Source organism: Homo sapiens, chromosome 2 (assembly GCF_000001405.40).
Source record: "Homo sapiens chromosome 2, GRCh38.p14 Primary Assembly".
Taxonomy (NCBI): domain Eukaryota; kingdom Metazoa; phylum Chordata; class Mammalia; order Primates; family Hominidae; genus Homo; species Homo sapiens.
In genome coordinates this window covers 82,184,448-82,200,970 of record NC_000002.12, presented here as the reverse complement: position 1 = coordinate 82,200,970, position 16,523 = coordinate 82,184,448, and the positions used below count along the sequence as shown (strand labels likewise).

The 16,523-nt window shown below is 32.4% G+C and overlaps 1 annotated feature.

The window, feature by feature from the left end:
- Positions 1,316-1,831: an enhancer, noted in NCBI's record as "OCT4-NANOG hESC enhancer chr2:82426264-82426779 (GRCh37/hg19 assembly coordinates)". NCBI's record gives its function as "activates a minimal SCP1, AML or CMV promoter by ChIP-STARR-seq in naive H9 embryonic stem cells {active_cell/tissue: H9 hESC(naive)}" and the evidence as "EXISTENCE:reporter gene assay evidence [ECO:0000049][PMID:30033119]".

Here is a 16,523-nt window from a genome sequence, read left to right as displayed (position 1 = left end):
GAAATTCCTTCTTCTTGATGCTGTAGATATACCAATGTTGAAAATTTTCAGGATCAACATTCCAGGTTGTTATTAAGTTTTTCTAAAGAAAAATCTGCACTTAGTTTAGATAACTGTACTTAGATATTTAGCAACTGAGTACAGATTTTGAAAGTCCTTTAATTATTTTCATGGTTATCCAGAGAATGTTGAGGTAGAAGCAACAGTGGCTTTTTGGTGCTCTGATCTCTTTGTGACTTTTGAACCCATGTAGACCACATGCCTGTCTCCATGTTTTCCACTTTCTTGACTATGGAAGTGGAAGGTGTGATCCTGGTGGACCTGTCTGATAATCTTTTTCTGGGACCCATTCCTTAAGGTCCTTCTGATAACCATTGCCCTAGCCATTTAATTTCTAAGCACTCCAGTTTTTAGATGAAATTTCTGAATGCTAAGAGCAGAATGCTGTCTATTCTCTAAAACCGAAAACTACATGTTTAATAAAGCATATTTGTACCTACATGTAGTAAAATAACAGTTTTACACATAATTGCTGTAAAAACTTTTCTTCAGTTGGAGGAAAAAAAAAAGCATGCAGGACTTAACTACTTGTTGAATCTTTCTTTACAAATCTGAATGATTTACCCAAATCAGAGAGTTACAAATAGAAGAGCTTTTCTCTCCAAGTTGATCTGAAAGCTTTAAGAATTTTATGAGTATAATTTTTTGATACTGTTACTGTTTATACAGAATGAGTTGAAATTGAAACAAGAACTGAAATATGTGCACATTATATTACAATGTATAAAAGGAGCTTTTAATAGTAGAAATAAAAATCCAAAGTCCTTTAATTGAACCAACTAATATGAGAAGCAGAAGAAAGAAATATACTCAGCAGGTAATAAAAATGGCAAACAAGATATTTTAAATTCACAGATTTGGGCACATATAGAAAGTGTAAACTACCATGGTCTGTGACATAGCCTCAGGAAGTCCTGAGAACATGTGCCCAAGGTAGCTGGGTTACAACTTGATTTTATACATTTTAGGGAGACAACAGTTACAGGCAAAGACATAAATCAATGCATGTAAGGTATACATTGGCTTGGCCCAGAAAGGCAGAACATCTTGAAGTGGGGGCTTCCAGGTCATAGATGGATTCAAAGATTTCCTAATTGGCAATAAGTTGAAAAAGTTAAGCTCTGATTGAAAAGTTGAAGTCAGCTTGAGTTAAGATCATGGGGGTCTTGGAAGCCAACGTTCTTGTCATGTAGCTGAAGCCTCCAGGTTGCAGGCTTCAGAGAGATTAGATAGTGAATGTCTCTTACGAAACCTTAAAAGGTGTCAGACTCTCCAGAAGAAACCTAGTAGCGGAAGGAGATTCTTTACAGAATGCAAATTTCTCACAAGAGACAGCTTAGCAGGGCCATTTCAAAATATATCAAAAAAATATATTTTGGGGTAAAATACACTTTGATTTCTTTTAGGGCCTGCTATTTGACATGTGATACTATACCTGAGTCAGGTTGGAAATTGATATCTTATTGCTACTGTTTTGTCCATCTTAATGTCTCTGTTTTTATGTTAATGCTGGTCAGTTGTGTTTAAATTCCAAAGGGAGGAGGGTATGATGAGGCATGCTCAACCTTCACTTCCCATCATGGTCCAAACTTGTTTTTCAGGTTTCTTTGGGATCCCCTTGGTCAAGAGTGGGTCCATTTAGTCAGTTGGTGGCTTAGAATTGTATTTTTGGTTTACAAAAGCAAAATCACAGATAGAAGCTCACCTTTTATTGTTTTTTCAAATAACAGGCTGTTGATTTTATCAATAGAAAATATAATATAAATAAATACTTGCTTCCACACTTAGATATTTTAAAAAATCTAATAGGATGAAGTGGTCAATAAATGCCATTTTTCAGAGTCGGGGGTTTAACTGAGAACGACTGAATAATCTTTGATAGTGTGACGTCACTGCCAACACTAATGTGATTTAAGACTGAAAAAGAGAGGAACATATTTGGCATGTACATTGTAATGATCCTCTGATTTCTTTCTTGAATTAATAAAACCTATTCTAAGAGATGAGATGGATTATTTGGACTGGGTGCAACTGTGTAGACAGCACATGTGACAGAGAGTTTGAGAGTCTCATCCAGGCAAGACAGAGGCCACTTACGACTTAAGCCACGATATGCACGTGCTTTAAATAATATTTATTCACTTATGCCTTTCAATGCTATGTCTTCAGTCCTGATCTCTCAACTAAGCTCACCATTCATTAATAGGCAGCCCAAATAAGATACATCCAAAACTAAAACCTCGATTTATTTCTTCAGATTTACTCTTCCCTGAATATTCTTCCAATATGACACATGAAAATTACATTATAAAATCTGTTTGTTCTAAAAATATTGTAATTGTAGTTGATTCCTTCTTTCTTTTACACCCTGTGTCCAATTACTGGCAAATTTGAATCTTATTTATTCTACATTCAAAATATATTGAGAATCTGAATTTTCTAGATATTTTCACCCTTAGCTCTCTGGGTTGTGGCATTTATCTCTCCCCTGGACTATCACAACGCCCTCTATTCTTGTGCCCATTAGTTTCTTTACATACAACTCAGAGTTATTCCAAAAATAATTAAAATCAAATCAATTATCTGCTCAAAGATTCTCAATGGCTTCCTATACAATTAATAAAATGCAAATCCACCATGACCTATAAAATATCACAGACATTGCCTATCCAGTAACTCAGTGACCTCATACTCTACTCCTCTGTCTCTTTCTCATTCAGCTCTAGCTTCGTGAGTGTTTTTTTTTTCTTAATTTCAATACATGTGCAGATTTTTTATGTAGATATATTGTATAATGCCCAGGTTTGGGGTATGGATCTAGTCACCCAGGTAGTGGGTTTAGTACCCAAAGGGTAGTTTTTTACCCACGTCTCCCTCCTTCCCTTCCCCATCTAGTAGTCTGCAGTATCTATTTTTCTCACGTTTATGTCTATGTGTGCTCTCATGGTTCTTAATGGTCTTCAATCACACAAACATGTTATCTCTAGTTTGGGGCCTTTGGCCATCCTATTGCCATTAATTAGAACAGTCTTCCCAAAAAAAGACTTCATTGATTTCTCTTGCTCCAGACATCTTCTCAAATACCATCTTATCAGAGAGGGCTTTCCAAACTACTCTATGTAAATTCGCTCTCCCATCCTTGTCAATGTTCACCACGTGTTACAACCTGACTTTTTATGTGTTTATTTTTTTACTGCGTCTACCCCTCTACTACGTGTCCCTGAGATGTGGGACTTCAACTCTGTTTAAATGACCTACACATGATAGCCACTCAAAAAATATTTGTGAAATGAATGAATATAAGAAGAGAAAGTAATCAGTAATTAGGATAATTATTTAGCATGCAACTAGGATGTGTGAGTAGATTAAATCATGTGAGAAGATAAAACTAGGAAGTAATGCTCAAATAAGCACGATGATTAGTGACCAGAATATGGTACAAGAATCCTTATATTTAATTCAGGAAGCCTATTTCACAAACAGCAGGCCTACTTTGGTATATGTTTCTAGAACAGAAAAACAAAAACAAACCACTGGTTTTCTTCTTTCTGGTTTCCTTTTCCTGATGATTTGGAGTTCAACAAGACTTGGGGCACAGGAGACTTCAGTATCTGTTACAGAATCAGATGCTGAGAATATAATGGTGAAGAAGACATAATCCTTGCCTCCAAAGAGCTCACAGATTCAATATGGGTGGTGGTGGCAGAGGAAAATGAAATGCATCAGGCCTTATTGGAGTGGTGATTGCATGCTTCTAAGAATGGCTTTGCTACACTAGAGGACAGCTATTTCCTCTTGTGCCTTCCTTAGTGGTAATGACAGGGCAATATGCCCATGAATTTTGAGGATGAACTTTTCTCACTAAAAGCCAGAGAATAAAGACAAATTCCACATGATATTGCTTATATGTAGAATCTAAAAAAGTTGGAGTTATAGAAAAATTTTGGAAAGTAAAATAGTGGATACCAGAGGCTGGGTCTGTGGAGGGTGAGTGGAAAGTTGTTGGCCAAAGAATACAAAATTTCAGTTAGAAAGAATTAGTTTCAGAGCTATACTGTACAACTTGGTGACCATATTTAATCACAATGTATTATATTCATGAAAATCCCTGAGAGAGTAGATTTTGCGTTCTTACTACAAAAAAAAGTGAGTTAATGCATATGTTAATTAGCTCAAGTGAGACATTTCACAACGTGTACATATTTCAAAATATCATGTTATACACCATAAACATATACATTTTTATCTGTCAATATAAAAATTAGTTTAAAAGTAAAAAATAAAATTGTTACAGGGCATTGAAGTTAGACTAGTTTTGCCATACAGTGTAACAAGTAAGATGAGAAATCAGGCAACTAGAGAGAAAGATTTTTTTTTTTTATTAAAGCAACCTCAACCATTAGAAAGAAATAAAATAAAAATAAATAAATATATACTCACAAACTATATAAGAATTTCTTACTTTGGGTGATTCAAATATATGTATTTTTTGAATTGTGCCCAAAGCGTCTACAATGATTAAGTCAAAGAAGCAAATCAGAATATGGTCTAATTAGATAATTATTGGCAAATCTAAACATTTGAAGGAAATGGTTCATGAGGCTCTAAGTAGGACCAAATCCTAGGGCTAAATAAGAGGATGGTTAGTTCTAAATTAGAATGATGGTTTACATTTGTATGGGCTTTTATAGTTTGATAACTGTTTTTCCTATGTATTATCTTGTCTAATTGTCACAATGACTCTTTGCAGATAAAAGCAACAGTTTTATAATTAATGGCCAGCCCTTATAGCTTTTTTGTGTGTGTGTGAAAAAAACCATTTTTTATGAAACTCCATTTTTCTTATGAAAAACCCATTTTCTTATGAAACCCCATTTTTTTCTTATGAAAAGCTATCCACATGTATAGGCTAGATTGATTAAATCCTTTACAGTGCGCCCTGAAGAGCATTAAAAACCTGTCCAGGGTAAGGAGTCTCTACAACTACTGGTTCAATTCCACTAGCTTTGAATATTATTGGTCTTCTTAATTATCTTAATATTATTTTAATATAGTTGACAAATGATGCTCTCAAAGAATGCAAAATATCTGTCCTCCACGTTACCATATATAAGTAGTTGTAAACTTGTGGTTTCAGCAAGTGTATGTTGGCATCTTAGGTATGTAAAGAAAACTAGATTGTTGACTAGCAAGTGACCTAAGAAACTTTCCATTTTGCTGTTTGACCTAGTGTTGATCATATGAAGAACAGGAGACAATTATATAATTGTATTCTGAATCTATAATGGCAGAATTATGCTGATTTTCGTTAACATCAAGAAATATGTTCAAAAGAAATGCAGAAATTCATTTACAATGCATCTAAAAATTTTGTTTCCAAATGATCCCACTGTGTCAGTTTTCTAAAATGTATACATACTCATTTTTATGATCCTTTTATATCTTCGACATGCTGAGTGTTTGATACAGCCGTATCTTAAGTTCTGCTAAAGAAAACATTTACAGAGCTGATTTGCCACATGTATTTTTTTTAAACTGACCTAGGTATTGGTGTGCTTATTTCCAAAAGGTCTCAATTGGATGGTTGTTACCTTTTTTATTGTGATAAGAAATGTATAACAAATTGACTGTTTGATCATTTTGAAGCATATAGTTATAAAGTGTTGGGTACATTTACATTGTTGTGCAACAGATGTCTAGAACTTTTTCATCTTATAAATCTGAAACTCTATACCCATAAACACTAATTTCCCTCTCCTTCCTCTAGTCCTTGATGGCTACCTATTTCTACTTTCTGTTTCTGTGATTCTGAGTATTTTAGATACTTTATATGAGTGAAATCATACAGCATTTGTCATTTCATAACTGGTTTATTTCAATTAGCATAATGTCCTATAGATTCATCCATGTTGTTGTGTGTGTCAGGATGTCCTTGTTAAGGATGCATAATATTCCACTGTATGTATTACCGTATTTTCTTTATCCATTCATCTATGTATGAGCATTTGGATTGCTTCCACTGCATAGAAAAGGTTAATAATCCTGCAATTAATAAGGGTGCGCAAATATATCTTCAAGATTCTGCTTGAATTATTTCGTATATATACCCAGAAGTGAGACTGTTACATTACATCGTAATTTTATTTTTAATTTTTTAGTAACCTTCCTACTGTTTTTCATAATAGCCGCACCAATTTTTATTTTCATTAGCAATGCACAAAGCCTCCAATTTCTCTGCACCATTGTCAGCACTTTTTATTTTCTCTTCTTTTGATAGTGGCCACCCTAATTGGTGTAAGGTAATACCTCATTTTGGTTTTGATTTGGATTTATCTTATGATTAGTGATGTTCAACATTGTTATATATTCTTGTTGGCCATTGGTATATCTTCTTTGGAGAATTGCTACTGAAGTCCTCTGCCCATTTTTTAAAAATTGGTTTTGTTGTTTTTGTTATAGAGTTCCCTTATATATTATGAATAGTGACCCCTTATCAGATATATGAGTTGCAAATATTTTCTTGCATTCTATAAGTTGCTTTTTTACTTTGCTGATTATTTCTTTTGATACACAGTTTTTGAGTTTGATGTCCCGTTTGTTTATGTTTTCTTTTGTTGCCTGTTTTTGGTGCCATATTAAAGAAATCATTGGCAAATCCAGTGTCTTGAATTATTTCTTCTAGGATTTTATCTAGAAGTTTTATAGTTTAGTTCTTAGGTTTAAGTCTACAATTCATTTTATATTACTTTTATATAATGTAGGGTAGGAGTCCAAGTTCATTCTATTATACATGGATATCCAGTTTTCCCAGTACCATTTGCTGAAGACACTGTTCTTTCCCCATGATGTAGCCTTTAACACCCTTGTTGAAAACCATTTGGCCACATATGCAAGGTTTTATATCTGACTTCTCTCTTCTGTTCCATTGGTCTATATGTCTGTCTTTATGCCAACATCATACTGTCTTGATTACTATTACTTTAAAGTATGTTTTGAAATCAGAAAGTGTGAGGCTTTCAAATTTTCTCTTCTTTTTCAAGATTATTTTTGCATTTGAGTTATTTTTAAATTATATTATAAATTTTAGAACTTTTTCCTATTTCTAGAAAAACCATCTCTGGAATTTTGATAGGAATTGCATTGAATCTGTGGGTTGCTTTGGGTAGTATAGACATTTTAACAATTCTAAGTCCTCTAATTTTTAAGCATGAGGCTGCATGAATTTTTAGACTCTCCTTTTACATGAATGTGCCCTACAAATGTTGAGGTTCACCTGTAGGCTGTGATATAGGGAGCCTTTCCAAAGCAAAATGTATCTTGATTATGGAACCAAAGACTTATGAGATCAGGGCACTTCAGAGACGGGAAGGATCTCAGCCATACTTCTCATTTGGCCCAAGAGTGAAAACTGCTGATAGTCTTCTATGTTAAAAAAAGAAACTACCACAAATGTAGTGCCTTCAGATGGCACCCATTTATTGTTTCACAGACTTTCTAGGTCAGAATTCAAGGCACAGTTTAACTGGATCCTCTACTTATAATCTCATTAACCTGAAATAAATGTGCTTGCTGGGCTATAATTTTACCTAATATTCTTCCAGGCCCATGTGACTGTGGTAAGTTTTGGGATCTTAAAGTTGTAGGACAGATGACCTCAGCTCTCAGACGCTACTTCCTTGCTACATAGTCCTCTTCCTAGCCTCTGATGTCTGTCATTCTGTCATTCTACTCTCTACCTACCTCCGTGAGATAAACGATTTTGGCTACCACATGTGAAGGTGTACATGCAATATATTTGTCTTCCTTTGGTTTATTTTACTTAACATAATGACCTCCAGTTTCATCCACATTGCTACAAATGACATTATTTCATTCTTTTCTAGGACTGAATAGTATTGCATTGTGTATACACTATATTTTCTTTATTCATTCATCTGTTAATGGATGGTTAGGTTGATTCCATGTTTTTGCTATTGTAAATAATGCTGCAGTTAAACACGGGGCCGCATGTATTGCTTTGATATACTGATTTCCTTTCCTTTGTTCCTTTTCTTTTTTTTTTGATAACTACCCAGTAGTGGGATCATTGGATCATATGGTAGTTTTATTTCTAGTTTTTCAGGAACTCTTCATACTGTTTTTCATAATGGAATTTACATTCCCACCAATAGTGTATGACAGTTCTCTTTTCTCTGCATCCTCACTAACATCTGTCATTTTTTGTCTTTTTGATAACAGCCATTGTAACTGGGGAAGATTATATCTCATTGTGGTTTTGATTTGCATTTCCCTGATGATTAGTGATGTTGAGCATTTTTGATATACTTTTTGGCCTGAGAAATATCTATTTAGATATTTTGTCCACTTTTTATGAGATTGCCTGTTTTTTTGTTTTTGTTTTTATTTTTGCTGTTAAGATGTTTGAGTTCCTTTTATACATCTAAGTAATTTTAAATTAGTTTGTAATTCTTTGAACTATGAGTTTGCGTGTTTTTTAAATTAACGTATCTAAATGATTATAACTGCTGCTTGCAGTTTTGCTATTGATTTGAGCACTACATACATAGTGTGTTTAGAGATTATAACATACATTGCTAAAATTTTCATTCATGACTGAACCCAATTGCAGTTTTGCAAAAAGTTGCAAAGTATTAAAACAGTGTTAAACACTTATTTAGGGGAAAGGGAGCAATAGCAAAAAATATACCCATCTTCCACCTTCATGCTACATTTAAATTTATTTACCTTATAATCTTTATAGATGAAAATGATGTAAAAATTCCTGTGAAAATATATAAAACAGATCATTCATTAATTTAGTGTTAAAGTTTTACTGAATCTATGTAATTTTAATCAAGAGACTACTTCAAGTATCAGAATGTAGAACAGGAAAAAGACAAAATGTCCTTTTGAGATATCCATTGTTGGTAGGGGATTTGCAGTGAAGCTGCATGTTTCTGCTTGATGGTGATTTGGCTTTTTATTCTCATCTGTGATTTTGTTCAGGTTAATTCTAACATTTTAAAGGGGAGATTTAGACTCAGCAAGTCTTGAAATGAGACTGAGATTGTGCATTTTTAACACATGCTCAGGTAATGCAACAACAGCATCAATTTGTAGCTTGTTACCCAGTGGTTCTCAACTCAGCTGAATGCTTGCAATAACTGGAGATCTTCAAAAAACACAGTTGGAATCTAAGGCAGGTGCCAAGCTTTAGTATATTTTAAAAACTCCTGAGGAGATGCTAATCAACTGCCAGGGTTGGAAATCACTAGCATCCACATTTCAATAATTCCTCAAAAACCCCGGCCAGTTTTTATCTTCTATAAGCCTCTCCTTAATAAACTTCCTGTCAATTCCAATCCTCTCCCTCCTCCCACTTTCCTGATAATCTGTAGCACCTTCAAGTCAAAGTCATAAGATGTATTTTTACCTTTATAAATTCACTACATATTTCAATGTGTTAGCCTTGTATCCTTAATAATACAGTCTTTCTGTGAATGCAAGGACTCAGTTACCTTTAGAGTAAATATAGTGTTTAAACATACAGATTGAGTTTAAATTTTCAAAAAATGAAATACTTTGTGGTCAATTAATAGTAAATAATATTTGAAAAACAGTTTAGAAAGTACTTTCACACATTTTCATTTTTGTTTTACAGGAACCTTCTACATTATGTGGTTTTCAATACGTATATCAGTTAAGAGAAAGAAGAGGTAATTTTTTTGAACAAGGATAATACGTGCTAGAGCCAAGATCAGACATTAGTTCTTTGATTCTAAACACTGTGTGTATGTTTGTCACAAGACTTCATAGTTTTTATATCATACAAGAAAACAATACTGGGTATGCTTTCTGTTTTCTTAGCAACCAGATTACTTTCACATGCATTGACTCACTTAAAATTGGCAACAATCTATAATTAACTTGATAACCAACTTCAGCCAAATAATAGATTTGAATTAATCAGTCTAGACATATAATAGACAAGTAGTTATGCCAGGAACTCCAAAGACAAGGTTTGGAACAATATGATATTTATAATGTTGGCATGGATGTCAGATAAAATATAGAGTCATCCAAAATTCTAACTCTCCTTTAACTCTGCATCACCCAATAGCAATAATATACCCTTGTAGAGGAATATGTGCCAGAACTGAAATAACTACTTTATCTGTTTAAGTCATTTTAATGCTCACAACAGACCTAATAGTTATATTCCTTTCTTCCCTCCCTCCCTCCTTTCTTTCTTCTTTCTTTCTCTTTCTTTCTTTCTTTTTTCTTTCTCCTTCCTTCCTTCCTTCCGTCCTTCCTTCCTTCTTTCCTTCTTTCTCTTTCTTTCTTTCTTCTTTCTTTCTTTCTTTCTTTCTTTCTTTCTTTCTTTCTTTCTTTCTTTCTTTCTTTCTTTCTTTCTTTCTTTCTTTCCCTTCCTTCCTTCCTTCCTTCCTTCCTTCCTTCCTTCCTTCCTTCCTTCCTTCCTTCCTTCCTTCTTTCTTTTTTGGAAGAAAAAGTGCAGGCACAGACTGGTAACTTTCCCAAGCTCATCTGTTAATTAAATGGCAAAGCTAGGATTAAAAAAAAATTCAGTCAATCCTCAGAGTTCATCCTTTAAACCAGGGGTAGGCATACTTTTTTAAAGTACACAGCTGTACCCATTTGGTTAAATACTGTATGGGACTCCTTTCCTTACTACAATGGTTAAGTGCATTGTATGTGGGCAAAGTCAGAAATACTTATTATCTAGCTCTGTATAGAATTTTTTTTCTTTTTGAGATGAAGTCTCACTCTGTCACCCAAGCTGGAGTGCAGTGGGGTGATCTCAGCTCACTGCAGCCTCTGCCTCCCAGGGTCAAGTGATTCTCCTGCCTCAGCCTCCCGAGTAGCTGGGATTACAGGCGCGTGCCACCATGCTTGGCTAATTTTCGTATTTTTAGTAGAGATGGGGTTTCACCATGTTGGCCAGGATGGTCTCGAACTCCTGACCTCGTGATTTGCCCTCCTCGGCCTCCCAAAGTGCTGGGATTACAGGCATGAGCCATCGCGCCCAGCCTGAAAAATGTTTGTTAATGGTTGCGTTAAACTAATTTGCTGCATTTTCTGTGCAATTAGTCCATCTAAACATCTGAAGCATTTATTCATATGTCAATGTGTTCTACACAGAGTACTTACCTAATTTTCCAAATATTATATTGAAAAGCATGTTTGTATAGTGCTTTTATTTTTTATTTAAAACTCTTTCACAACCTTTATCTCAAGTTCCATAACCACCGTATGAAATAAGGTCAATGATGAGTCTCTTCATTACACCGATCAGAAAAGCCAAGCCAGTAAATGTCACAAGTATCATCATGCAGACCTCCAAATTTTGAGTCTACATCACCATGACATCATGAGACTAACACTACATGAGTATATTACTGACCTTCATAATGGCTTAAAAAACATTTCTATTCAATAAATACTTATTGAAAGCTTGCCATGTGCCAAGCCTTGTATAAATGTTAATTCACGCTGTGGGAGGCCAAAGCAGGCGGATCATGAGGTCAAGAGATCAAGATCATCCTGGCCAACATGGTGAAACCCCGTCTTTACTAAAAATACAAAAAAATTAGCTTGGCATGGTGGCATGCACCTGTAGTCCCAGCTACTCAGGAGGCTGAGGCAGGAGAATCTCTTGAACCCGGGAGGGGGAAGTTGCAGTGAGCCGAGATCATGTCACTGCACTCCAACCTGGCGACAGAGTGAGACTCCGTCTCAAAGAAAAAAAAATGTTAATTCACTTTGTACTCATAACAAATCTCTGAGGTAAGAACAATAATATCATTTACATAAATAATAACATAAACTACAAAACATAGGCACAGGTTTTAATAGTTTAAGGAGCTAACCCAAGGTAATACTGCTACTGAGTGATGGTATTCAGCTTTAAACTGAGGGGTCTAAAGTCCTTGCTTATAATGATTTCACCACATTGACTCCTGTGGAGCTCATGCATCAAGGCTGTGTATTTTAAAATGTGAATCTAGTTGAGATTTGAGAATTCATCATAAATGCTTTTAGAAAACATATTAATTACTCTCATTTTGATGACTCACAAATAAAAATAGAAGTAAAAATAATTTCAACTCAAAGACATATTTAGTGTAACTACTTAACTGGCTAAAATACAAACATGGGGGTGCATGTATCACTTTGATATACTGATTTCCTTTCTTTTGTTCCTTTTTTTTTTTCGTTCATGACTGAACCCAATCACAGTTTTGTAAAAAGTTGCAAAGTATTAAAACAGTGTTAATGCATTCACATAAAATTTCTTTCATTTGCCTTTTTCAGACTTTAACATAGTTAATTTTCTAATTATTTTACAAATAAGCTTAACACATGTTAATTATGTTTGATTATTTTGCTCTAAAATCATATAATTATAAATACATTAAAAATGAAATGAAAAATTAAAATCCATCTAAAAAGGTACACATTGTAGAATAACACTTTCCTGAACACTTTGGCCAATGAATTGTGAACAGCTGTTTACATGTGTCATTTTCAAATAGAAGCTTTAAGATCGATTCCATGTTCCAACACATCTTCTGATCCGTTTGCAGTGGTGACTTCAACATAGTTCCAATGACATGGGGTAATTACATGAAACAAAGCCTGAAGCTAATCCAAAGTGAATGTGTAATTAGAGTGGGAGATAAACATTTTACTATTTTATCTACAAAAATTTTGAATCTTTTGCTACTGATCCTCATTACCATAATTGTTGGTTGAACTTTATGTATATATGTATACATATTATATATATACTTTATATATGTATATATGTATACATATTATATATATACTTTATATATGTATATATGTATACATATTATATATACTTTATATATGTATATATGTATACATATTATATATACTTTATATATGTATATATGTATATATATTATATATACTTTATATATGTATATATGTATATATATTATATATACTTTATATATGTATATATGTATATATATTATATATACTTTATATATGTATATATGTATATATATTATATATACTTTATATATGTATATATGTATATATATTATATATACTTTATATATGTATATATGTATATATATTATATATACTTTATATATGTATATATATTATATATACTTTATATATGTATATATGTATATATATTATATATACTTTATATATGTATATATATATTATATATACTTTATATATGTATATATGTATATATTATATATACTTTATATATGTATATGTTATATATTATATATACTTTATATATGTATATGTTATATATTATATATACTTTATATATGTATATGTTATATATTATATATACTTTATATATGTATATATGTATATGTTATACTTTATATATGTATATATGTATATGTTATATATACTTTATATATGTATATATGTATATATGTTATATATACTTCATGTATATATGTATATATGTTATATATACTTCATGTATATATGTATATATGTTATATATACTTCATGTATATATGTATATATGTTATATATACTTCATGTATATATGTATATATGTTATATATACTGTATATATGTATATATGTTATATATACTGTATATATGTATATATGTTATATATACTGTATATATGTATATATGTTATATATACTGTATATATGTATATATGTTATATATACTTTATATATGTATATATGTATATATTATATATATACTTTATATATGTATATATGTTATATATACTTTATATATGTATATATGTTATATATACTTTATATATGTATATATGTATATATTATATATATACTTTATATATGTATATATGATATATATACTTTATATATGTATATATTATATATACTTTATATATGTATATATTATATATACTTTATATATGTATATATTATATATATACTTTATATATGTATATATTATATATATACTTTATATATGTATATATGTATATACATTATATATACACTTTATATATGTATACATGTATATATATTATATATATACTTTATATATGTGTACATATATATTTGTAAACTTTGGAATAATCTCAAACTTACAGAAAATTTGCAAGAAATTTCTGTCTCTGTGTGTATGTGTGTTTGGGTGGGTGGGTGTGTCTGTAATATAATTCCTTCCATATCGTATGAAACTAGGTTGCAGGAATTATGGCCTTTAATTGATAAATTTTTCAGTGCTTTATTTCCTAAGAATAAGAACATTCTCTTGGAGAACCATCATAAAAGTTAACATGTTTATATTACCTAATCTACAGTCCATAATTTAAATTTCATCATTAGCTTTTTAAATTTTTTATTTTTCTTTAGCTTTTTCTTCATACTGGTCCAGAGTCCAGGCCAGGGTCATGCATTACATTTAGATTTTATGGTTTAAGCCTGTAAGAGTTCCTCAGCTTTTCTTTGTATTTTACTATATTTTTGAAGGGCATCGGACAGTTATTTTGTAGAATACCACTTAGTTTTTATTTGCCTGATGATTCCCCATGATTATATTTAAGGTATGCATTTGTGTCAGGAATGCCACAAACATGGCTCCCTGTATCTGAAGTCATGAATTAATTTGTCCCATTATATTAATTTGTCCCATTATAGGGAATGTTAACTCTGATTACAGGATTAAGGTAATGCTCTTCATATTTCTCCACTATAAAATTACTCTCTCTTTTGTAATTGATAAGTAATTCACAGGAGATGCTTTGAAACACTTACTAAACCTCCAACCACTGATATTAGTATTCATCAGTGACCCTTGCCTAAATCCATTTACTATGATAATAGCAAAATGATTTTTTGAACTTCATAATTTCTTCTATTCTAAGGATGTTGTCTTTCTTCCCTCACTTCCTCCCTCCCTCCCTCCCTTCCTTCCTTCCGTCCTTCCTTCCTTCGGTCCTTCCTTCCTTCCGTCCTTCCTTCCTTCCTCCCTTCCTTTTTTCTTTCTGCCTTCCTTCCTTCTTTCCTCTTCCTTCCTTCATATATTTATATATATATGTGTATATATATGTATGTGTATATATATGTGTGTATATATATATATAAAAGGGAGAGAAATAAATGGGAATAAATGCACATATATTTAAATATGCATCCATATAAATAAATAAATGCATATATATGCACACTTTCTCATTTATAAATAAATACATATATATGTATTTATAGACAGAGAGAGAGAAAGAGAGAAAGAGAGAGTGCATTCCTTACTTTCTGGAACACAATGCTGTTCTAGACTACTTTGCTTTCTCTGCCCCCAGATCCGGAATCAGTCATTTCTCCAAGGAGCACTGGTTCATTTTAGTAGAGAAGCCATTTTGAAACCAAAATCTGAGAACAGGAAGGGGTTATTGCTGATGATAAGTATCATCTTCTAACTAAATTCAAAGCAAAATTACTTTTACTTTCTTATCCAAATTGCTATTGGTAAAGTAAAGAGAAGGTATACGAGTACATTACTTTGAAAGAATTATACTCTGTCTTTCCTCCAGCACAAATAAAGATAAATAATAATGATGATCTACAAAGTACTGAGCAAGAAAAACATCAATCAAATTCTAAAAATTATATTTGTCTTTGATAGGTTTTAATGCTGTTGATCCTCATATAGACTTGAGAATTTCCTGGATGTTAAAATATACGTAATATATATTTTTATATCTTATTTTATTATTATTATTTGAGATGGAGTTTTGCTCTTTTTGCCCAGCCTCCCCAAGTAGCTGGGATTACAGGCGCCTGCCACCACGCCCGGTTAATTTTTTGTATTTTTAGTAGAGACGGGGTTTCATCATGTTGGCCAGGATGGACTCCATCTCTTGACCTCATGATCCGCCCATCTCAGCCTCCCAAAGTGCTGGGATTATAGGCGTGAGTCACCGCGTCCAGCCTTTTTATATCTTATTTTAAGGGAATCAAGAAAATTGCTTTATTTCCTTTGGGAGAAAACACAGCTTTCTAATATTCCAACATCTAAAAATTGCTTAATAGAAAACATATGACTTTCCTTAATTGCCTTCATCATTCATTTTCTATTTGGAAATGTAAGTGTGTCTCCAATATTCATATCCTTCAAGTGCTCAGTTCAATTCTCACCCAATCACTTTGTACCATTTTCTCCTAGTAAGTCCTTTTCTGAAGAAATCGTGCTAAAAAATATTAGTAGATTGTTGTGTTGCATGAAAAGGTTGACATATCTTGACTTAAAAATGAGTGTATGTGTATATATATGTGTTTTTTTCTATATATATCACTTTATAGAGATGGGAAACAAATAATAATTTAGTTTACGCAGTTACTTTGATGGGCACATTTATCTCATTTTATGATGGATTCGTCTGCTGTGAGTGGTTAGTCATCACTAAACCTTGTCTTTTGCATCCCGGGCTTAGAATACATTTGGAAGTTTTCTTT